General features: G+C 45.9%; 2 protein-coding genes across 14 annotated transcripts in view, besides 4 other annotated features; both read right to left on the bottom strand.

Moving 5' to 3' along the window:
* Positions 1,858–2,152: a silencer, noted in NCBI's record as "tiled region #1580; K562 Repressive DNase unmatched - State 5:Enh". NCBI's record gives its function as "represses a minimal TATA promoter and a strong SV40 promoter by Sharpr-MPRA in K562 cells {active_cell/tissue: K562}" and the evidence as "EXISTENCE:reporter gene assay evidence [ECO:0000049][PMID:27701403]".
* Positions 3,566–24,095, bottom strand: part of TMEM217B (transmembrane protein 217B) — a 45,964-nt gene continuing 25,434 nt past the window's right edge. For 2 of the 3 annotated variants that reach the window (NM_001395378.1, NM_001395938.1), the window contains exon 2: positions 3,566–4,381. In NM_001395378.1, the coding sequence (NP_001382307.1) occupies positions 3,842–4,354 (513 nt within the window). In that variant the 5' untranslated portion in view covers positions 4,355–4,381 and the 3' untranslated portion in view covers positions 3,566–3,841. Of the gene's footprint in view, positions 4,382–6,582; positions 6,668–24,095 lie in introns of all 3 variants that reach the window. The other variant, NM_001395377.1, reaches the window with a different exon arrangement.
* Positions 3,566–24,095, bottom strand: part of TMEM217 (transmembrane protein 217) — a 45,964-nt gene continuing 25,434 nt past the window's right edge. For 2 of the 11 annotated variants that reach the window (NM_001395242.1, NM_001395241.1), the window contains exons 2-3: positions 10,047–10,426; positions 3,566–4,381 (exon numbers count right to left, since the gene is read on the bottom strand). In NM_001395242.1, coding sequence (NP_001382171.1) covers positions 4,367–4,381; positions 10,047–10,415 — 384 coding nt within the window. In that variant the 5' untranslated portion in view covers positions 10,416–10,426 and the 3' untranslated portion in view covers positions 3,566–4,366. Of the gene's footprint in view, positions 4,382–4,595; positions 4,705–6,582; positions 6,668–7,325; positions 7,352–7,444; positions 10,427–24,095 lie in introns of those variants that run through there. The other 9 variants (NM_001286401.2, NM_001371555.1, NM_001395240.1 and 6 more) reach the window with 7 other exon arrangements.
* Positions 13,281–13,420: an enhancer, noted in NCBI's record as "active region_24453". NCBI's record gives its function as "activates an Ori minimal core promoter by ATAC-STARR-seq in GM12878 lymphoblastoid cells {active_cell/tissue: GM12878}" and the evidence as "EXISTENCE:reporter gene assay evidence [ECO:0000049][PMID:35858748]".
* Positions 13,621–13,880: a silencer, noted in NCBI's record as "silent region_17133". NCBI's record gives its function as "represses an Ori minimal core promoter by ATAC-STARR-seq in GM12878 lymphoblastoid cells {active_cell/tissue: GM12878}" and the evidence as "EXISTENCE:reporter gene assay evidence [ECO:0000049][PMID:35858748]".
* Positions 14,251–14,300: a silencer, noted in NCBI's record as "silent region_17134". NCBI's record gives its function as "represses an Ori minimal core promoter by ATAC-STARR-seq in GM12878 lymphoblastoid cells {active_cell/tissue: GM12878}" and the evidence as "EXISTENCE:reporter gene assay evidence [ECO:0000049][PMID:35858748]".

Raw genomic sequence — 24,095 nt, forward strand, 5'->3', positions numbered from 1 at the left:
TGGCGCGATCTCAGCTCACTGCAACCTCCACCTCCCAGGTTCAAGCAATTCTCCTGCCTCAGCCTCCTGAGTAACTGGGATTACAGGCACCTGCTACCATGCCCGGTTAATTTTTGTATTTTTAGTAGAGAGGAGGTTTCACCATGTTGGCCAGACTGGTCTTGAACTCCTGACCTCAGGTGATCCACCCGCCTCAGCCTCCCAAAGTGCTGTCATTACAGGCGTGAGCTACCATGCCCGGCTACATTCCCACATTTTAAGAAAATTAAAAAAAAAAATTTTTTTACATCAGTTGGATGCGGTGGCACACCTGTATTCCCAGCTACTCAGGAGGCTGAGGTGGGAGGATCGCTTGAGCCTGGAAGTTCAAGGCTCCAGTGAGCTATGATTGCACGACTGCATTCCAGCCTGGGTGACAGAGTGCAACCCTGTCTCTAAAAATCAAATAAAAGTAGAGACATCCTGAGTGAGACCCTGAGAGAATCTGAGTCAGAGAACCAGGTGAGCTGTGTCTGGACTCCTGACCGCAGAAACTAAGACAGAATAAATGTACTGTCTTAAGCTGCTAATTTTGGGGTAATTTGTTATGCAGTAATAGATAACTAGTACATGTCACATCTCTACAAAAATGTCTCTACAACAGTAACCACCCCAAAACATATCCTGACTGGGTATGGTGGCTCATGCCTATAATCTCAGCACTCTGGGAAGCCAAGGTGGGAGGATAGCCTGAGGCCAGGAGTTCAAGACCAGCCTGGGCAACATAGGGAGACCCCATATTGTATTTAAAAAAAAAAAAAAGAGTTGTGTAGGGGAGGATCTGCTTCCAAGCTCCCTCATGGGGCTGTTGGTAGGATTCCGTTCCTCACGGGCTCTTGGTTAGTGACCTCTGCTCCTGGCAGTGTGAGCCTTTCCATAAAGATACTTTCAACATGATAGCCAGCTTCCCTCAGAGAGCGGGCAGCACTGACGTCATCGTCTTCTGTAACCTAACCTTAGAAAGGACAACCCATCGCTTTTGCTATGTTCTCTTTGCTAGAAGAGGATCACTGGGTCCTGCCCACATCTAAGAAGAGGTGATGAATGTGAATATCAGTTCGCAGAGATCTCTGGGAACCATGTTAGAGCTGGCTACCACATCAAGGAAGCAACTGCATAAACAAAGCCAGGGTTTAGGGGAGAAGTCCAGGCTGAAGATGTATATGGGGCTTATTAGTGATGGGTCTGGACCAGGTGAGCTGGGAGTGAGTGAGACAGAGAACAAGACCAAGGACTGTGCCAAGGGCACTCCGGTGTTTGGAGGTCAGGAAGATGAGGAGAGGCCAGCAAAGGAGACTGAGGAGAAGGGGCCAGTGCGGCAGGGGAGGGATGGAGACGGAGGCAGAGGGGCTACCAGAGAAACCTGTTGGCAGGAGAGAGGGATCAGCAGTCAAAAGCCACTGCAGGACAGGTCAGCAAAGGTGGAGAACTGACCACCGGCTTGAGCAGTGTGGAGATCACCTTGACAAGAGCAGTCCCAGTGGGGCGGTGGGGGTGAAACCTAACTGGATGGGTTCTAGAAAGAACAGGAGACCAGGAAGTAAAGGCAGAAGCAACCATGCTTTTGAGGAGTCTTGTATAGAGGATAGCACAACCTTGCGTTTGAGTGTCTTAAACTTTCTCAACTAAAGTAACTCTCAGCTGAGGTGATTCCTGGAACTCTGCTTCTGCCTACACTTCTTCAACACACAGGTCTCCAGTTCCCCAATGTTGCCCAGGTCTACCTCCCACCGTAGCGACCTCAACCGGGATGGGGAATCAGAACCCAGAAGTTGGCCCATGTTTTATATTTTGTGTTTTGGTACTAGCAAGTCACAATCAGACAAGGCATGCCTTGTGAGACTGGGGCAGAGACACACACATTAGCTCCCAGTCATCAGCTGGAAGCTCCATAAATCCTGAACAGCCACCCTTGGAGGATCTGGTTTAGGGGCCAACAGCTCTAAGCAAAAGCTTATTACTGACTGCCATCTTGTGGTCATTTGGGGAACTGGCCTAGGTTTAAATCCGTGGTGGAAAGAGTTGAGTGAATTGTAGGATAGTACCTGGCACTGAGTGTTCAGTAAAAGCCAGCGACTGTCATTACTATGCTCATGGTTTGGAAGAGTATGGCCAAAACAAACAAACAAACATGTCTCTTGACTTCACTCCCAACATTTTTCAAGGGAAAAGGAACTACCCTAAAAGGAGGTGTTCCTTTTTGTCTTGGTAAAAGTAAGAATGAATCAGGGAGCCGACTTTCGTGTATGAAGTCAGATGATGAGATGCAAGTCCTGCTTTTGCTACCATGTGACCTTGATCTCATCACTGAAGCCCAGTGAGTCTCAGTTTCGTCAAACCATAAAACAGGAGCATTAGGATGAAGACTGCACAACTGGTGAATGTGAAGAGTTCTCAGGAAAAGCGGCACTCCTAGTTCAAGGCAGGGGCCTGCTGGCTCTCAACACAGAGCTTGTTGCTTTACAATAGTGTCTCTCAACTAGGGGCAACTTTGCCCCCCCACCACCCCCACCCCATGGGATGTTTGACAATGCCTGGAGATATTTTGGGGGGTTCTTTTTGTTTTTCAAAGGGTTGGTCCTTGTTTTTGTTTTGTCTGTTTGTTTGAGACAGAGTCTCGCTCTGTCACCCAGGCTGCAGTGCAGTGGCGCGATCTCGGCTCACTGCAAGCTCCACCTCCCAGGTTCAGGCCATTCTCCTGCCTCAGCCTCCTGAGTATCTGGGACCACAGGCACCCGCTACCATGCCTGGCAATTTTTTTGTATTTTTAGTAGAGACGGGGTTTCACTGTGTTAGCCAGGATGGTCTCGATCTCCTGACCTCTTGATCTGCCTGCCTCGGCCTCCCAAAGTGCTGGGATTACAGCCGTGAGCCACCGAACCCGGCCCTGTTTGTGTGTGTGTGTGTGTGTGTGTGTGTGTGTGTGTGTTTGTGTTTTTGAGATGGAGTCTCACTCTGTCCCCCAGGCTGGAGTGCAGTGGCACCATCTCAGCTCACTGCCACCTCCGCCTCCTGGGTTCAAGTGATTCTCCTGCCTCAGCCTCCCGAGTAGCTGGGATTACAGGCACCCACCACCACGCCCGGCTAATTTTTGTATTTTTAGTAGAGAGCGGGTTTCACCATGCTGGCCAGTCTTGTCTTGAACTCCTGACCTCAAGTGATCCACCTGCCTTGGCCTCCCAAAGTGCTGGGATTACAGGCGTAAGCCACCATGCTGGGCCGATAGGCTAGTCTTGAGCCAGCCATACATAGTTATTGAAATGGAAATTAGCTAAAAAAGAATAAAATTTAAAATTTGATTACTGGGTTGTAATAGCCACATTTCCAAGTGCTCAGTCGCCACACATGGCTAGTAGCCAGCACAGATAGAGGACATTTCCATCAGCACAGGAAGTTCTACTGGACAACACTCCTCCAAAGGACTCAGCAGAACCGGCATCTGTGGGCCAACCCATAAAGGAAGAACTAGAAACTAAGGAAGTGCAGAGGAGAGGGGACAGTGAGAGGCAAAAACAGACACCAGTGAGATGGTTAAGTAAGCACAAGGCCACATATCATTAACTGCTAAAACAAGTCACACAACACATCTGTAAAATAATTGATCCGCACAACCTGCCCTCTCCCGAGAATCATTCCTCAGTGCGTAAAACTCAAAAGCCCTGACAAACCAAGCAGCATCAACAGAAGACAGGCAGGGTAGGGAGGGTTCCATTGTTGAGGAACACCATTCCCTCCCACCTTTCCTGGCATCTGGCATGGTTCAGTTTAACTTCCGGTACAACATTCCCAGACGGACAGGTAGTCATGAGTTCACTGCAATGGTGGAGCAGAGCCTGTGGCGGCGTTTCCTGCCCACAGTCTGGGATTCCTTGTAAAGGTTGTATGCATGCTTGACGATGAAGGGCAGACAGAAAAAGTGCAGGAGCATGTGTGAGATTTGGAAGATCCAGTGCAAATAACTCAGCGTCTTGAAGTGATCTTTGATGATCCCGTTGAGGAGCAGGACTATGGAGAAGTTGATGAGCTCGTAAGTGATGATCCACATGGCATAGATCAGCAGCCCCATGTAGATATTCTTGTGGATACAATAAAAGAGGAAGCAGCCGATGATGATGGTGGTGAGGGAGAGGCCAGTGCTGATATTAGCCCTGTGGAACAGGGTCCAAGTGACTAGCTCCGACTTTGAGTCCACGTAGATGCTGAACTTGGCCTCATAGCAAATGTGTGTCTTCTGGTTCAGGTCAAAGATGAAGAACTGGGTGGTATTAAGGACAGAGAAGATGCCCACCATGAGGGAGAACATCCTGACATTCATTTTATACTTGTTTTACCAGAGCACCTCCTGCAGGAAGAAAATCATACAGACACGTGACAAGATGGCAGAGGTAGCCTTAGACAAATCCCCCAAGTCACTAGATATAAATCAGAGAGCTAAGAGCAATGATGGTGTGTGGACAGGCAATAGGCTGGAAGTTAAGGGACATGGGGTCTGGCCCGTGCTCTGGCCTAACTTGCTAGATGTGACCACATCATTGAGAAATGAATGTATCACTGGCCTGGGACTTCCTAAGTAGCTTCCAATTCTGCTGTTCCAGCTTCAGCTTTGCTTTAAAGTGGCAAAAAGAGTGCTCCTGTTGATGTAGGTTTGTGGGAATTCAGAGGTTCCTGTATTGAGGATAACGATGGTATGAACGAAGCTCCCATCTGGGGAGTTTGCTTCTCTGAAGTCAGAAAACTCTCATGGCTCCTCAAGGGCTTGGAATCATCCCTGACATCCTCTGCCCCCACTACTCTTTCCTTCCAAGTCCTTAGAAATTTCCCTGATTTGCTCCCTGGGCATGGCCCAGCCTTGTCCCAAGTCACAGGGTTTGGCCAGCAGGAATGGAATGGGTAAAGGTTTATGGATCCAGGCAAGACTCTGCCCAGGGCCAAGATGCCTTAACAATAAGCCACCATTGTGCAGGTGAAGGCCCAGCAGGCAGACCTCCAGCTGCAACCTAGGTTACACCTGAGCTCTAGAGGTCAACTCATGGCAGGGAGCAGGAACCTGGTGCCCGAGCCGACCCTGCTGAGGGCATGTTGATAATGGGGGACCTAAGGCTGGAGTAGGCTGGGCCTACAGCGCAAACGTTCCTCCACAACCTGAATCTTCTTCTTACTGGCTCCCAATTCAGAGGACTCCTGAGCAAACCTCTCTCCTCATCATTCACTACACTGGCGAGCTACCTCTGTTGTGGGGCAAAGGAAGGGGCACAGTCACACATTAGGAGAACACAGGGCTGTCCTCAGGCTGACGAATGTCCAATGGGGGACAACTTGTTGGAAGCCTGACCTGGCCTCTCTCTGAGATGACCAGAATGGGTCCTGTCCAGCCAGGCAGAGCACAGACAGGCTGCCACTAGCCTCCCTCCAGCCCTCTCCTCTTCACTCACTGGATCAACTCCAAATACAGTAAAATATACAGAATGTAAAATTCACCACTTTAGCCCTTTTTGAATGTGCAATTCAGTGACATTAAGTACATTCACGTTGTCGTGCAAGCATATCGCTATCCATCTCCAGAACTTCCTTTCTCTCTCTCTCTCTCTCTTTCGACAGAGTCTTGCTCTGTCACCCAGGCTGGAGTGCAGTGGTACGATCTTGGATCACTGCAATCTCTGCCTCCCAGGATGAAGCGATTCTCATGCCTCAGCCTCCCAAGTAGCTGGGATTACAAGCGTGCGCCAGCATGCCCAGCTAATTTTTGTATTTTTAGTAGAGACAGGTTTCACCATGTTGGCCAGGCTGGTCTTGAACCCCTGACCACAAGTGATCTGCCCGCCTCGGCCTCCCAAAGTGCTGGGATTACAGGCATGAGCCACCATGCCTGGCCATCTTCAGAACTTTTTCATCATCCCCACCAAAATCTCTGTACCCATTATAAACATCAACTCCCCATTCTCCTCTTCCCCCGCTCCCTACTAACCATTTTTCTTGCTGTCTCTATGAATTTGCCTGCTCTAGGTGTCTCACATAAGTGGAATCATACATTTGTCCTTCGGTATCTGGCTTACTTCACTTAGCATAATGTTTTCCAGATTCATCCCAAATATTCTTATACTTTATTCTCCACCATCCTCCCAACCCTGTGTGACTCCAGATACACAAAACTCTCAGTGCACCCTAGAACCTGGAGGGCCCAGGAGGGAGGCAGTGTGTTGTCTAGTGGGTAGCTGCACTGATGCTTCCCCGTCTGCACCAACGAAACCTCACCTCTGCTCGGTTCACAGCGCAGCTTCCAGAGCAGCCACTACCCATGGGGTACTCACCTGAATTGTCTAAAAATAAGGCCCTGAACCACACAGTTTTCTTCCTTTGCTTTATATCTATGTTGTGAGTTTCAAGGAAATGTCTGTATAAAGCCCACTGGTTCCACAGCTCTGCTGCCCCAGCCTTGGTCTCCACCCTCGGCACCTCTCTCTTGGGTCACTATAATAATGGCCTAACTTCCCTTTCTGCCGCTAGCCAAGGTCCTCTGGTACATTCTATTCATTCAATACTCACTCAGCAGACATCTATTGTGTATCTACAGGTGCTGGGGGCTGAGCTTGGCACTGGAGACAGACAGGTAAATATGCTAGTGTGGAAGCTAGACAAATAAAAAAACAAATGAATAAAAATTGTTTTTAATTAAGAGAAAAGAAAACTTGAGGCAGGCGGATCACGAGGTCAGGAGTTCAAGACCAGTCTAGCCAACATGGTGAAACCCCATCTCTACTAAAGATACAAAAATTAGCTGGGCATGGTGGCACGCGCCAACTACCTGGGAGGCTGAGGCAGCAGAATTGCTTAATCAGGACCCGGGAGGTAGAGGTTGCAGTGAGCTGATATCACACCACTGTACTCCAGCCTGGGCTGCAGAGCGAGACTCTGTCTCAAAAAAAAAAAAAAAAAAAAAAAAAAAAAAAGAAAAGAAAAAAGAAAACTTACAATGCAACGTGATAAATGTGATAGAGGAAGAGATGGCTCAGTGTTGTCAAGATGTAACAGTGAGAGAGATGAAAAATCATTGGATGAGAATCAGGGGAGGCTTTCTGGAGTAGGCAATAGCTGAGCTTGGGTCTTCAGAGACATGGGCATTAACTAGGCAGAAAAAGGAGGGACTTCACCCCCAGCAAAGGAGACAACACAAAGGGGTAGGCACAGGGATAGGCAAAAGCCATTTTGGAAACAGCAAGTTTGCCTTGGCTTGAGCAGAGGGGAAGGCTGTATATGTTGGCAGGGGCCAGATCAGGAAGGATCCTTACCTGCTACCAGCCATGTGGATGTTTCTCTGAAAGGCAAAGGAGAGGTTCTTCAGGGTGTGTGTGTGTGTGTGTGTGTGTGTGTGTGTGTGTGTGAGAAACAGATAGACAGACAGACATAATCAGATTTGAATTTTATTTATTTATTTATTTATTTTTGAGACAAAGTCTCACTCTGTTGCCCAGGCTGCAGTGCAGTGGTGCAATTATGGCTCACTGCAACCTCCATCTCCCAAGTTCAAGCAATTCTCCTGCCTCAGCCTCCCGAGTAGCTGGGATTACAGGTGCCTGCCACTATACCCGCCTAATTTTGGTAGTTTTAGTAGAGAAGGGGTCTCACCATGTTGGCCAGGCTGGTCTTGAACTCCTGACCTCAAGTGATCCGCCCGCTTTGGCCTCCAAAAGTATTGGGATTACAGACGTGAGCCCCTGCGCCTGGCCCGATTTGCATTTTAGAAAAATCTTTCTTGCTGCTGTGAGGGCCATGGGTCAGAAAGGGAGCAAAGGTGGAGGTAGGCAGAGCAGTTGAGAGGCTATGGAAGGAAATAAGGTGAAGTAAGGCAGCAGAGGGATGTTGGGGGACAGATTTGGGGCCTGGGGCTGTGGAAGAAGGAGTCTGGGATGAGCACCTGGATGGAGGACAGCCCATCCTCTGAGGCGAGGAGCACAGAGGCAGGAGAGCCCTGAGGATGGGAGCGGGGAAGACAATGACAAGGACAGCTTGCCAAATGGTGAGTGCTGTGGTTTGACTGTCCCCTTCAAAATTCATGTTGAAACTTAATCCCTAATGCAACAGCATTAAAAGATGGGGCCTTTAGGAGGTGATTGAATCATAGGGGCAGAGCCCTCATGAATGGAATAAGTGACCTTATAAAGGGACAGGAGGGAACTAGCTAGTTTCTTTTGCCTCTCCATCCCTTCTGCCATGTAAGGACAGTGTTTGCACCATCTTAGAAGCAAAGAGAGCAGGCCCTTACCAGACACCAAACCTACTGGCACCTTGATATTGAACTTCTAGCCTCCAAAAGTGTGAGAAAATAAATCTCAGCTCTTTATAAATTACTCAGTTATTATAGCAGCAGTGGGTGACTCACACCTGTACTCCCAGCACTTTGGGAGGCTGAGGCAAGTGGATCACCTAAGGTCAGGAATTCAATACCAGCCTGACCAACATGGGGAAACCCCGTCTCTACTAAAAATACAAAAATTAGCCAGGCATGGTGGCCTGTGCCTGTAATCCCAGCTATTCAGGAGGCTGAAGCTGGAGAATCGCTTAAACCCGGGAGGCGGGGGTTGCAGTGAGCCGAGGTCGCACCATTGCACTCTGGCCTGGGCGACAGAGCCAGACTCGGTCTCAAAAATAAAAAATGTGCTTCATACAGTCTCTGGACCTGAATGCAAAGTGATGTCTGTTTATTTGTGATAGTATGTAATCATATACTGTCTTATATGATTGGCTAATTGATTCATAAACAATAATTTACTTTCTTCCACTAAACTACAAAATTCTCATAGTCATTCATATCTTACACATTTTTGTATACAGTATATACACAATGTTCAGTACAGTGTTCACACTACAGAGTACAGCACAGCAACAGATACAGAAGTATGTTTAACATATATCTTTGATTAAGGAAGTGCCTTTCACACTCCTTGACAAATTTGGAAAGGGTGGGGAAATTCGAGACATAAATTGAAGGATGAATTTTCTCTATTTTTATTCTTTTTCTTATCTGGAATAAAACAGAAGACACAGTGGGGAAATCATAGCACAAACCCACCCCAGGGCCAACAGTATCCTTTGTGCTGCAAAAATCTGGTATAAATACAGATTTGCTTATCCCAGGGTTAAATTAAAGAGTTGTGGGTTGAAGGCTAATGAAGATGCCAAGAAAAAAGGATTGCCCTACTGCAATTCAGCTTCATCTTATTCCATTCATTTTGACCAATCAGGTGGTAGAAAGGTGAGTTCACAGAAGTTTTGATAAATCACAATATCCTTTAACTAAATACCCTCAATGAGCAGGATGTTCCGGTTGTGATTATAATCACATTTTCTCTTCATGTTCTCCTGAAAGAGTGGCAGTAGGGTCTCTACTTGCAGAACTGCTAAGCAAAAGTGGGGGGAAAAAAGGAAATAGAACTACCCTGGGAATCTGAGAGACCTACCTCTTATGGGAAAGAAAAGGGCCAACATGATTGCTTATAGTGGTGGATAAAGCTGCTAACTTTTTTTTTTTTTTTTGGGGGACAGAGTCTTACTCTGTCACTCAGGCTGAAGTGCACTGGCGCAATCTCGGCTCACTGCAACCTCCACCTCCCAGGTCAAGTGATTCTCCAGTCTCAGCCTCTCAAGTGGCTGGGATTACAGGTGTGTGCCGCCACGCCTGGCTAATTTTCTATTTTTTTTAGTAGAGACGGGGTTTTGCCATGGCTGCCAAGGCCAGGCTGGTCTTGAACTCCTGACCTCAGGCGATCCACCTACCTCTGCCTCTCAAAGTACTGGGATTCCAGGTGTGAGCCACTGAACCCACTCGAAATTGATAATCTTTTATTTCTGCTGTGGAGAATCTCCGCTGTAGAAATTCGTCTCTTGTAGGAAATTATATTGCCCTGGCTCCGGTTTTTGTAGGTTATGTGGGCATAGTTGATGACAAAGAACATCCAGAAACAGTGCATGACTGTACGAGACACCAAGCCAAACCAGCGCATGATTCTGACCTCTTTAATGTCAAAGTCATTGTTGGTGAGGATTTGTATTACGACGTTTGCAGTTTCATAGAAAAAAATCCAGACAATGTAGATGACCAGGCCCCTGAAGATCTGGGCATACACTGAGTACAGGAGGAAGCAGCTGATGAGGATGGTGATGAAAGACAGGAAGAGGACGATTTTAAAACTCCAGCAGATGATGAAGTTATTTATGATGTTACTTGCACCCCTGTACTTTGGTGTGATCTCAGTGCAACTGCCATTCCCTAGGTGCTTCTGTTCAAAGATGAGATACATGTCTACGGCCATGATGGTGAAGACCCCTGACAACACGGTGCCCATTTTGGCAGTCATCCCACACCACTGCTGCTGTTTCATGCTGAGACCTCCTGTGAAGACAAACAACATGAGGGAGAATTCTAGTTCCTGCCAACATGGTAAATTACCAGGGTTTCTGCCTCCTTCCCCAAATCTACTTTGGAGAAATATAGACAGAAATACGAAAACTGGGAAACTATAGCCTTGGGAAGACACAGGCTGTTTAAAATAGATTGGGGGTGGGGAAGAGAGAGGATTCAGTCAAGTTGGTGGCAATGACCAGATAAAATTACAGTAGTGGTTCTCAACCCTGGATCCACCTTAGAATCACCAAAAGTACCCAAGTCCAGGCCCCACCACAGACCAATCACAACATTCTCTGGTTGGGATCCAGGCACCAGTAATTTTCAAAACTTCCTAGTAATTTTCGTATGTAGCCAGTGTTGGAAAAAGCTGAGTTAGAAAAAGATGGCTTAAATTATGCTCTTAGCTGGGCACAGTGGCTCATGCCTGTAATCCCAGTACTTTGGGAGGCTGAGGTGTGAGGATTGCTTGAGTCCAGCAGTTCAAGACCAGCCTGGACAACATGGTGAAACCCCATCTCTACAAAAATTAGTCAGGTGTGGTGGTGCATGCCTGTAGTTTTAGCTACTTAGGAGGCTGAAGTAGGAGGATCACTTGAGCCCAGGAAGTCAAGGCTGCAGTGAGCTGAGATCATGCCACTGCACTCCATCCTGGGTGACAGAGCAAGACCCTATATCCAAAAAAAAAAAATTATGCTGTTAACTCTCCCAGCATTGCCTTGGGCTTCCATTGCTGCCCAGATGGTGAAAATTGCCTGTACTTGTTCAGACCTGAGTACAGATGTTTCAGGATATAACCAGGGCAGCACAAGAACCCTGTTGGGTGGAGATGATAAAAACAGGTGGACACCAACTGGCTTTGGGCAATCGCTTCTCTACTACATATCAAAATATGGATTACAGTGAAAGATGCATACTTTAAAGGAAATTTAGAGCCCTAGGATAGACTAGCCTTATAATAGAAAAGAAAATGTAACAATGAGCTAAGTATTCAACTCAAGAAGTTAGAGGGAAAATAAGAACTATACAAAAGTAGGAGGAAGAAAATAAATAGAAGCGCGTAAGTCAATGAAACAGGAAATAAAGTAGAGGGATTTCTGACTGGTTAGGTTATTTGGGCTGACATGTTGCCAAAAAGCAACTTAAAATGCTGGATAAAATAGTTTAAAAATATAAAGTATAGAAGTGCTCCCCAAGTGGAAGGAAGTAAATTTTGCTCTGAAGTTATTTGCCAATCTAGGCACACTTGATTTCATTATGACAGCAATGCAGGGTAAAGAACAAAATCAAAGCTCTGGGTCCACCAAGGTGAGGAGTCTTTCCTATATTAGTTGTGAGCATCCCCAAAGGCCTACGATTAGGGGAAAGGTGAATCAGAAGTAAACCTCCCCTACATCTTTCTGCCAGGAAACTCCAAGAAAAGTTGGCTTGTTAACTACACTGAGCAGGTGGGGAGAAAACTCTCCTTGAGACATTGTAATCATAGCTGGCCTTTTTTTTTTTGTAGATTTATAGCCCATATTACATGAAGTATTTTTTTTAACTTTAAGTTATAAATCTTGTTTAAAGTCGTCCTAAACTGAAAGTGTGTCTAAGTGTCTGGCAGAAGCAAATTCAAATCCTCTCTGGAGGATTGTACTTTTATGCTGGTCTTCATCCTCTAAGAATCTTCATCAGTAATTTTTCAGGGACAATGACAAGTACATAGTGAAAAATAACCAAGCACATAAGGAACAAGGCACTGTGAGAACAAGCTGAAACAACAGATAGCAATGGAACTGCAGTAATATCTGATCATCAAACAACTATGATTACTATATTTTTGCATTATTTAAAATTTTTGTTTTACTTTTATTATAGTATAATTCATGCATATATAATACACAGATATATATAATATATATACAAGATAAAATTTTACATCTTAACCATTTTTAAGTAGACAGTTTAGTAGTGTTAAGTATATTCATTTTGTTGTACAAACAATCTCTAGAACTTTTTCATCTTGCAAAACTGAAACTGTACACCCATTAAGCAACGAATTCCCATTTCCCCCTGCCCCAGCTCCTGGAAACTATCATTCTACTTTCTGTTTCTATTAATTTGACTACTCTGGACATGTCATGTAAGTGGAGTCTTTTTTTTTTTTTTGAGACGGAGTCTCGCTCTGTCGCCCAGGCTGGAATGCAGTGGTGCAATCTCAGCTCACTGTAACCTCCATCTCCTGGGTTCAAGCGATTCTCGTGCCTCAGCCTCCCAAGTAGCTGGGACTACAGGAGTGCACCACCACACCTGGCTAATTTTTGTATTTTTAGTAGAGACGGGGTTTCGCCATGTTGGTCAGGCTGGTCTCAAACTCCTGACCTCAGGTGATCCTCCCACCTCGGCCTCCCAAAGTGCTGGGATTACAGGGGTGAGCCACCCCACCTGGCCATGTAAGTAGAATCTTATAGCATTTGTGACTGGCTTATTTCTGTTAACATAATGTCCTCAAGGTTCATCTATGTTATAGAATGTGTCAGAATTTTCTTTGATTACTGCATTAAAATAAATAAAAGATAAACTGAAAATATATGAAGAAACAGGAAACCATAGAAAATGACCTAGTGTTACAGGATCTCTGGGGTGTCAATTTTCTGGCCAGAAACCTCTGTGGCCAGCGGCACCTTTGCCTGAGTTCTTGTTCTGTGTCCAAGATGAATGAGGTACACAGACAAGTGAAGGGTAAACAAGATGAAGATGAGCTTTAAGTGTTAGATCAGCTAAAAGGAGACTCGCAGTGGGTAGCTCCGCTCTGTAGGCAAGTCATGCTAATATCTGCTGTTCTCAGCAGGGAGAAGGCCCTGGAGAGGGTTGCTCCTCTATGCAGCTGATAGTCCTGACGTCTCTGCAGGTCTCTGAGGCTCTCAGAAGAGAGGGTAGTTCCTCTCTGTAGCTGGTCCTCCCATTGTCTCCTGCTATCAGCAGAGAGGATAGCTCCTCTCTGCAGCTGGTCGTCCTATCATCTCTCTGCTCTCTTCGTCCTCTAGCCATCCTCTGCCCTGCTCTGGCTAAGCCCAGGTCTTTTATGGACCTCAGAAGGGAGGAAGTGCACGCAGATTGGTACATCGGGGGCCATGGGCAGGCTGGAAGAGGCACCACTTAGGTCTGCAGGACTGGCGGCCTGGCCCCAGCCTTCAGGCTCTCCCTGGCCTGAGGGTGGGGCCTTACTGAGGACCCGCCCCCTTCCACCCGGGAATCGATACGCCTCCCGCTGCCATCCATGGCCCCCCCAGGGCTCGACCCCAACCCGGCTCCGAGATTTGAACTGGTGCCGGGATTGGAGAGAGGCCAGGCAGCGGGAGCAGACATCCGGGAGCCTGCAGGGACGGCAGGAAGCCGGGGAAGGGGGCCTCCTGGGGTCCCCGAGGGTGCAGGCTGCAGAGACGCCCGGGTCCTGCACCTAGGAGGTCCCGCCCCGCTAACTCGAAAGGGGCGGGTCTCCTACTTGTCCCTGGCTCCTGCCTGCTCAGTGAAGTGGGAGGCCCAGGTCTGCAGCCGTGGGTCCTGGCAGCTGCAGCTGCACCTGGGAGGGCAGATCCTGCCTATTCCCGGCCCTCCTCCAAGAGCACAGGGAGGCTTCGATGCACAGCCACAGTTTGGGCAGCTGCAGCCCGCCCAAGAGGGCGGGACTTCTGCCTGCTCCGTAGAGCCGGAGGTGGGGTCTACGGCTTTGGTTTGGGCGGCTGCAGTAGCACCCGGTGAGTTCCCGACTTAACTCAGAAGGGGCCGGGCTTCCACCGGCTCCATGGAGTGTGTAACCCTAGCCGCGCCTCCCTGCTGCAGCTGGAGTGACAGCCGGAGTGATGGTAGCAGCCACTGCCATTACTAGCTGATTTGAAAAAGAACCCAAATAGAATTTCTAGAGATGAAAAACTCAGTATCTGAAATTAAAAATTCAGTGGACATAAATGGTAGCAGGTTGGACACAGATTAAGGAATAATTAGTTAACCAGGAAACAAGATAAATCAGCAGAAATTATCCAGAATGTAGCACAGGGAGACAAAAAGATGGAAAATATGAAGGAGAAGTTAAGAGACATGAAAGACATAATAAGATGTTCTGATAGAGAAAGAGAGATGAGACAAAATGGGGGTAGCATATTTACAGAGAAAATAGCTGAGGATTTGCACAACTGAAAAAAAAACACCAATGCACAGATTCAAGAAACCTAACTGATTGCTAGAAGGATAAATGAAAGAAAATCTACACAAAACATATGGTACTCAAACTATGGAACACCACACACAAAAAGAAAATCTCAAAAGCAGCCAATGGGCTTTTTATTTAAAAGACCAACAGTTATAGACTTCTATAGGAAACAAAAATCCCATGGAATAATATTTTAATTGTGCTACACAAAGCAAAACAAACAAATAGAAACCCCTGCCAACCTAGGATTCTATACTCAACTCAAATATTTTTCTTTTTTTGAGACAGTATCTTGCTCTGTCGCCCAGGCTGGAGTACAGTGGCGTGATCTCAGTTCACCACAACCTCTGCCTCCCGGGTTCAAGCAATTATCCTGCCTCAGCCTCTCAGGTAGCTGGGATTACAAGCGTGTGCCACCATGCCCAGCTAATTTTTGCATTTTTAGTAGAGACGGGGTTTCACCATGTTGGTCAGGCTGCTCTCAAACTCCTGACCTCAGGTGATCTGCCACCTTGGCCTCCCAAAGTGCTGGGATTACAGGCGTGAGCCACTGCACCTAGCCCATTTTTCTTATTTATATATTTATTTATAGAGATGGAGTCTTGCTGTGTTGCCCAGGCCAGAATGGAGTAATGCAATCATAGCTCACTGCAGCCTCAAACTCCTGAGCTCAACAGAGCCTCCTGCCTCAGCCTTTTTTTTTTTTTCTGGAGACAGGATCTCACTCTGTCACCAGGCTGGAATGCAGTGGCACGATCTCAGCTCACTGCAACCTCCGCCTCCTGGGTTCAAGCGATTCTCCTGCCTCAGCCTCCCGAGTAGCTGGGACTACAGGCGCCCACCACCATGCCTGGCTCATTTTTTTGTATTTTTAGTAGAGACAGAGTTTTACCATGTTGGCCAGGCTGGTCTTGAACTCCTGACCTCAAATGATCCGCCTGCCTCGGCCTCCCAAAGTGCTGGGATTACAGGCGTGAGCCACCGCGCCCGGCCTCTGCCTCAGCCTTTTAACTAGCTGGGACCACAGGTGCATACTACCACATGCAGCTCATTAAAAAAGAAATTTTTTTTAGCTGGGTGCAGTGGCTCATGCCTGTAATCCCAGCACTTTGGGAGGCTGAGGTGGGCGGATCATGAGGTCAGGAGATCGAGACCATCCTGGCTAACATGATGAAACCCTGTCTCTACTAAAAATACAAAAAATTAGCCGGGCGTGGTGGCGGGCACCTGTGGTCCCAGCTACTCGGGAGGCTGAGTCAGGAGAATGGCGTGAACCCAGGAGGCAGAGCTTGCAGTGAGCCAAGATCACACCACTGCACTCCAGGCTGGGTGACAGAGCGAGACTCCTCTCAAAAACAAACAAACAAACGAAAAAAAAACCTTTTATTTTTGGAGAGACAGCATCTCGCCATGTTACCCAGGCTGGTCTCAAACTCCTGGCCTCAAGTGACCCTCCCACCTCAGCCTTCTGAGCAGCTGGGATTACAGGAGTGAGCCACTGTAAATATTTTTCTAAAATATTTTTCAAGATTGAGAGCACACAGTATGATGATAACCTTTTCATAAAAATCAAAACCAAGCAAAATTTAAGAATATATTTTTTGGCCATACATATATATGTGAATAAAACTTTATTATAAAAGTAAGGGAAGACCAGTCATGGTGGCTCATGCCTGTAATCCCAGCACTTTGGGAAGCTGAGGCAGGTGAATTGCTTGAGTACAGGAGTTCGAAACCAACCTGCCCAACATGGCCCATCTCTATAAAAAAAAAAAAAAAAACACCACCACCAAAACCAAAAATTACCTAGGTGTGGTGGTGGCACATCCCTGTAATCTCAGCTACTCCGGAGGCTGAGGTATGAGAATCACTTGAGCCTGGGAGGCAGAGGTTGCAGTGAGCCAAGATTGTGACACTGCACTCCAGCCTCGGTGACAGAGCGAGACTCTGACTAAAAAAAAGAAAAAAAAATTACCAAAAGTAAGAGGATAATAGATACAATATTTGGGATTGTGGTTACTTCTGAAGTGCAAGGGGCAGGGATAGGGGCAGGGGCACATAGATAATTATGAGGCATTATTCTGTTTCTTGGGTTGAATGAGAGATTCACAAGTGTTCATCATAGTTTAAAAAAAACAAGCTAGTAAATAAAAGAACAAAAGTGGGCCATGCATGTATTAATGATGACTGTTTTCTATGACCTAGGATTATGAATAATCCAATTCTGTATACCTGAGTTCCCTAAGGAAAAAAATAAAAAGAGTGGAAAAAGACATGTAATCTAATCTCACACCTGTGGCATACTGTGGCGTAATTGGCCTTGCTGTGTTCATTGCCTCCCATCCAACTAAAACAGATAGCAAACGTCCTCTTTGTACTTCTTAAAAATCTCATTAAAATTTTGGGTTCCCATTGGTCTATCCCTAGCAAAGACTGATAATTGTCTCCCAACATTCATTTCTCCCTTTTCACTTTTACCTTTAGCTAGACACATGGCCACCCAGCTAATGACTGCATTTCCCAGCTTCCCTTGCTGATTTGTGTGGCCCCATGACCAACGGGATGCAAATGCAAGTGATGGGTGCCACTTTACAGTCTTGCTCATAAAAGAATTAGGGGTGCTCTCACCTTCTCCCTTTCCCCCTTCCTGTTTTTTAGCCATGATTGGAACTGATCTATGACCTACCCTATCAGCCGTGGGTCATTGCTACTTGAGAGAGAAATAAACTCCTATCATAAATCAGCCATTGTCTTTTGGGGTTTCTTTGTTACAGTGGCTTAGCTTGTACCACATTATACTACCTAAACTTCTTTATTGACGAAGTGTAATGAGAACTAGTGATCTACTGGGATCTAGCACCTCCTTTGACTTTGCTCTTTTGAAGAATCCAGCAGATTCTTCCTGTCTACATGCTTATTTCACTGAGTCTATGCTTATTTACCATCTCCTCATAAAGAGATATCTCCCCTTTATCTCAAGATCACCATTCTCTTTTTTTGTTTTGTTTTGTTTTATTTTGTTTTTTTGAGACAGTCTTTTTTTTTTTTTTTTTTTTTTTTTTTTTGAGACAGAGTCTCGCTCTTTCGCCCAGGCTGGAGTGCAGTGGCGCTATCTTGGCTCACTGCAAGCTCCGCCTCCCGGGTTCACGCCATTCTCCTGCCTCAGCCTCCCAAGTAGCTGGGACTATAGGCGCCTGCCACGGCGCCCAGCTAATTTTTTTTTTTGTATTTTGAGTAGAGACGGGGTTTCACCGTGTTAGCCAGGATGGTCTCGATCTCCTGACCTCGTGATCCGCCCGCCTCGGCCACCCAAAGTGCTGGGATTACAGGCGTGAGCCACTGCGCCCGGCCGAGACAGAGTCTTGCTCTGTTGCCCAGGCTGGAGTGCAGTGGCACGATCTCGCCTCCCAGGTTAAAGCGATTCTCCTGCCTCAGCCTCCTGAGTAGCTGGGATTACAGGCGCGTGCAACCACACCCAGCTAATTTTTTTGTATTTTTAGTAGAGAGGGGTTTCACCATGTTGGTCAGGCTGCTCGAACTTCTGACCTCATGCCTCATGATCCATCTGCCTTGGCCTCCCAAAGTGCTGGGATTACAGGTGTGAGCCACGGCACCCAGCCCAAGATCACCATTCTCTTACAATTAACTTGGTAACAACTCATGTATTGTCTTATGACATATTTTATTATATATTGTCTTAAATTGTTATTTAAATATTTTATACTTATAACAATCATTTTCATAGCTACCAATAAGGTTATTGAGTGTTAGAGAAGCTAATTAATTTTGCCCAGGCCTGTATATCTGCACAGCAGCAAAATTAGGATTTGAACTCACAACTTTCTGCCTCCAAAACTGACTCACTTGTCTTCATACTCAACCTACTTGTGTCTTGTGGGTTTCAGGGATTTTTGAATCCACTGAGCCCAGAGACTCCATCCATCCCCTAGTTTCTAAGGAAGGCCTCGACTAGAGTAAGGCCTTGATTAGAGTAGGCCTTTGGTCAGTGTTGGCAATTCTTCCTCCATTATCTCTCATCTGAGTCATCTTCCTCACTAACTCTCAGGGCCATTATGTTCCTTTCTCCTTTCTTCTTTCTCTCTCTTTCCTAGTTCTTCTCCTTCCTTCCCATTCTTTTTCCCATCTATGCGGCAAAACTTCCAAGTGTGTACTCTTGATTGCTCTAAGCGAAGGTTTTTTTTGTTTTTTGTTTTTGTTTGAGACGGAGTCTCGCTCTGTCACCCAGGCTGGAGTGTAGTGGCGCGATCTTGGCTCACTGCAACCTCCATCTCCCAGATTCAAGCAATTCTCCTGCCTCAGCCTCCCAAGTAGCTGGGACTACAGGCGCACACCACCATGCCCATCTAATTTTGTATTTTTAGTAGAGGTGGGGTTTCATCATGCTGTCCAGGCTGGTCTCAAACTCCTGACCTCGTGATCCACCCGCCTCAGCCTCCCAAAGTGCTGTGCTGGGATTACAGGTATGAGCCATTGCGCTCAGCCTAAATGTTTATTATTATCATTATCTTTATCATTATTACATCATCTCATCTGACTTACATGCTTACGTGAAGTAAATATTTTAATTTGCAAAATTAAAGCATAATTTAATATTTACTTTGTATATATCTTGAGATATATATATAGGAAAAAGTTTTTAGGAAAAAAATGATCCAATACTGAGATTTAAAAAGTCACAAATAGGAACACAGAAAAAAAAGTTAATGTTTCCATGTTACGGAAAGTTTCACATTTGCTCTATCAAGTGAGATAAAGAGACTTCTAAAGCAAGAGTCTCAAACTCTAAGGACTTCCAGAGCTAGGCAAGTCAAATAAATGGGTGAGGTTGAGGGGTATGAAGATACTAGGGCTGAGTGTGGTGGCTTGCACCTATAGTCCCAACTACTTGAGAGGCTAAGGCAGGAGCATCACTTGAGCCCAGGAATTTGAGGCCAGCCTGGGCAACATAGCAAGACTCCATTTCAAAAAAGAAAAAAAAGAAAGAAAAAGTTACTAGGGAGTAGTAGAGATTGTAGCAATTAGGACAGTGTCCACCTGCCTGAAAGTATTTGAATTCAAATTTCCTTAATAGGTTGTGCTGTTCAAACAAAACATATTTGAGGGCCATGTTGCAATTTTCACAAGAGTGAAACTCCATCTCAAAAAATAATAATAAGGCCAGGCGTGATGGCTCACGCTTGTAATCTCAGCACTTTGAGAGACCAAGGTGGGTGGATCACCTGAAGTCAGGAGTTTGAGACCAGCCTGACCAATATGGTGAAACCCTGTTTCTACTAAAAATACAAAAATTAGCCAGACGTGGTGGCATGTGCCTGTAGTCCCAGATACTCGGGAGGCTGAGAGAGGAGAATTGCTTTAACCTGGGAGGCGGAGGTTGCAGTGAGCCGAGATCGCGCCACTGCACTCCAGCTTGGGCGACAGAGCAAGATTTCGTTTCAATAATAATAATAGCTGGGCGCAGTGGCTCACGCCTATAATCCCAGCACTTTGGGAGGCCGAGGCAGGCGGATCACAAGGTCAGGAGATCGAGACCATCCTGACTAACACGGTGAAACCCCGTCTCTACTAAAAACACAAAAAATTAGCTGGGCGTGGTGGCGGGTGCCTGTAGTCCCAGCTACTCAGGAGGCCGAGGCAGGAGAATGGCGTGAACCTGGGAGGTGGAGCTTGCAGTGAGCCGAGATTGTGCCACTGCACTCCAGCCTGGGTGACAGAGAGAGACTCCGTCTCAAAAAAAAAACAAAAAACAAAATAACAATAATAATAATAATAACGAACATTTAATAAAAGCTTACTTTGTGCCAGGCACTGTATTAGAGTTTCATAACAATCTTGAGGATAGCTGTAATTGTGTGTATTTATTTCCTCGTTGATAGTTTCAAGAGGGAGGTGTATTTGTATTATTTATGCATTCAGGCACCCAGATAAAGATTTTTACCTGTCAGATTTACTAACAACTATTCAGCATTTAGTGCCAACTCAACTGAACAGAGTAAGCCCTTGTCCTGTGGGAGGTCGCTCTTCAACAGGACTTTGGAAAATCTGACTCGTCTCCCTAGCAACTTTCAGTTTTTTTTTTTTTTTTTTTTTTTTTGAGACAGTGTCTCGCTCTGTCGCCCAGGCTGGAGTGCAGCGGCGCGATCTCGGCTCACTGCAAGCTCCGCCTCCCGGGTTCACTCTATTCTCCTTCCTCAGCCTCCCGAGTAGCTGGGACTACAGGCGCCCGCCACCACGCCCGGCTAATTTTTTGTATTTTTAGTAGAAACGGGGTTTCACCGTGTTAGCCAGGATGGTCTCGATCTCCTGACCTCGTGATCCACCCGCCTCCGCCTCCCAAAGTGCTGGGATTACAGGCGTGAGCCACCGCGCCGGCCAATGTGCAACTTTCAGTTTTACTAGTAACTTCGTTAGATTCATTTTATTATTTGGCTCATTCTAAGTTACAGCCATCTATAGATTTAATTTCTAGTACTTCTCCTTAATGTGCTGACTCTGCAGTTGGTTGATTTGTTTTCTATTGCTGCCATAACAAATTACCACAAACTGAGTGGTTACAACACACAGTTATAATAGTATCTCAGTTCTGTAGGTCACCAGTTCCAGTTGCCTCAATACTCAACTGGTGGTTTCTCTGCTCCAGGTTTCACAAGGTAGAAATGGAGGTATCCTGGGCTAGCGGGACCCTTCTTGGGAAATTCTAGGGAAGAATCCCCTTCTAGCCTCCTTCAGTTTGTTGGCTGAATTCGTTTCCTTGCATTTGTAGAACAAAGATCCCTACTTCCTTGCTGGCTGTTAGCTGAGGGCCACCCCTGGCTTCCAGAGGCCTCCTTCCAGGCCTTGCTCCTGAGCTCTCAGAGCCAGCAGTGGTACATCAAGTCCTTCTCACGCTTGGAATTTCTCTGACTTCTCCTTCTGTCACAATTCACTGCCTCTAACTGGAGAAAGTTCTCTCCATTTATGGGTTCGTGTGGTAAGACTGGACCCACTTGTCTAATCCAAGATAATCTCTTTACCTTCAGGTCCTTAACCTTAATTGCATCTGCAAAGTCCCTTTTGCGTACTCACAGGTGTGATACGAGGGGGCAAAGGCCATAAGGGCTGTTATGGGCTGAATTGTGCCCCTCGTCACCAGGGATTTCAATTCTATGTTGAAATCCTAACCCGCAGCACTGCAGAATGTGACTGTATTTAGAGAGAGGGTCTTTAAAGAGGTAATTAAGTTAAAATTAGGTCATTAGTGTCAGACCTAATCTGACATTTCTTATAAGAAGAGAAGATTAGGACACAGACACACAGAGAGGGATGACCATGTGAAAACATGGCGCAGGGGTGGTGAGGGTGGCCATCTACAAAATAAGGAAAAAAGCCTCAAAAAAACCCCAACGCTACTGACACCTTGATCTCAGAATTCAAGAACTGTGAGAAAATTAATTTCTGTTGTTTAAGCCACTCTGTGATATGTAGTTATAGAAGCCCTAGCAAACCAATAAAGGGGCCAAAATTCTGCTTAACACAGTTAAGCAGAACAGCCTTTCAATTCTTCTTTGGACCTGGGTAAATTGCCTCTCTACCACTGGGCAGTTGTCTTATAAAAATTAAGTTAATTTTTTTGAGAAGGGTTTTAACAATGAGTTTTCTTTTCAGTGAAACTAAATAACAACACAAAGGTTTTTTGTTATTGTTTGTTTTTGTTGTTGTTGTTGTTTAAGTTAGGCTATGGGATTAAACCAAATCAATTCAAGAACCTAGTTAAACCACTGTCACTAAATTCCATTTAATTTAGTTTAATTTAATTTTTATTTATTTTCTTTTTGAGATGGAGTCTTACTCTGTCCCAGGCTGGAGTGCAGGCGCATGATCTCTGCTCACTGCAACCTCCACCTCCCGGGTTCAAGCGATTCTCCTGCCTCAGCCTTGCAAGTAGCTGGGATTACAGGTGCAAGCCACCATGCCTGGCTAATTTTTTTTTTTTTTTTTTTTTTTTGTAGAAACGGGCTTTCACCACGTTGGCCAGGCTGGTCTTGAACTCCTGACCTCAAGTGATCCACCTGCCTCAGCCTCCCAAAGTGCTGGGATTACAGGCGTGAGTGATCACACCTGGCCTCCATTTAATTTTTAAGAAATCAGGCTGGGCGCGGTGGCTCATACCTCTAATCCCAGCACTTTGGGAGGCCGAGGCAGGCGGATCATGAGGTCAGGAGATGGAGACCATCCTGGCCAACATGGTGAAACCTCGTCTTCACTAAAAATACAAAAATTAGCCAGTCATGGTGGCGTGCACCTGTAGTCCCAGCTATTCGGGAGGCTGAGGCAGGAGAATGGCGTGAACCCGGGAGGTGGGGTTGCGGTGAGCCGAGATTGCACCATTGCACTCCAGCCTGGGCGATAGAGTGAGACTCCATCTCAAAAAAAAAAAAAAAAAATTCAACAGAAAGCTCATGCTGCCTGGGTGTTTTATCTTTTATATATATATTATATATATTATGTTATTATATATAATATATATTTTTTCAATGTAGAGATAAATGTACAATTTTTTTTTTTCAGGAAATGGGGCTACTCTGCTCTTGGATTTTCTTCCCACTTTCAGACCATTATTCTTCCTCAGACCCCTGCTTCCTAGGTCTTCCTGACTGTGTGGCTAAAAAAAAATTACAGAATCTCAGTCCCTAGCCCAGACTTACTAAAATCAGAATCTCTGGAGGTGGGACCCAGGCAAAAATCTCAAGCTTGCATGAATCGAATTATCTGCTTTCTCCTTACCTGAAACTGGGCAGCTGAAGGATAAGTCACCTTATGAGGTATTTTCTTTTTTGCTTGTGTAAGTCTTTTGTTGGGGGGGAGAGAGGGGTGAAATGGAATTTATTCTTAAATCTGGGCTAATAGATTTGATTAATGGGTACAAAAGGACGCTTCGTTCCAAAAAATAGAATTTTCCCAAGTTGATGCAAATAGAATTAGAGATCACAAACAGAATAACATGCTGAAATAGCGAAAGTCAGGAGAACTTTCTATCACAAGGCTCCTGCCCATAATGGATTTTCTATATACTTTTTCCAAACCTTCAAGGATAATCTAGACTAAAGGCCCTATGCAATAGTTTTTTCTGTTTTGTTTTGTTTTGTTTTCTTTTTTTTGAGACGGAGTCTCGCTCTGTCGCCCAGGCTGGAGTGCAGTGGCACAATCTTGGCTAACTGAAAGCTCTGCCTCCGGGGTTCACGCCATTCTCCTGCCTCAGCCTCCTGACAATAGTTTTATACCCTATTAATGGTCACCAGTTTAACTGGCCCTAAACACTGCTGGGAAATCCTACTACCCTTCTCTGGTTAACTTCCTCTCCCGTTCTCTGCAACAGCTAGTCCAAGCCTTTGGTCCCAGATCCACAAACCCCATTTCCACATATACACTCCCTTCCTTTGTTACAAAGAGGAAGTATCTTTCCTC

This window comes from Homo sapiens, chromosome 6 (assembly GCF_000001405.40).
Source record: "Homo sapiens chromosome 6, GRCh38.p14 Primary Assembly".
In the NCBI taxonomy this organism is placed as follows: Eukaryota; Metazoa; Chordata; class Mammalia; order Primates; family Hominidae; genus Homo; species Homo sapiens.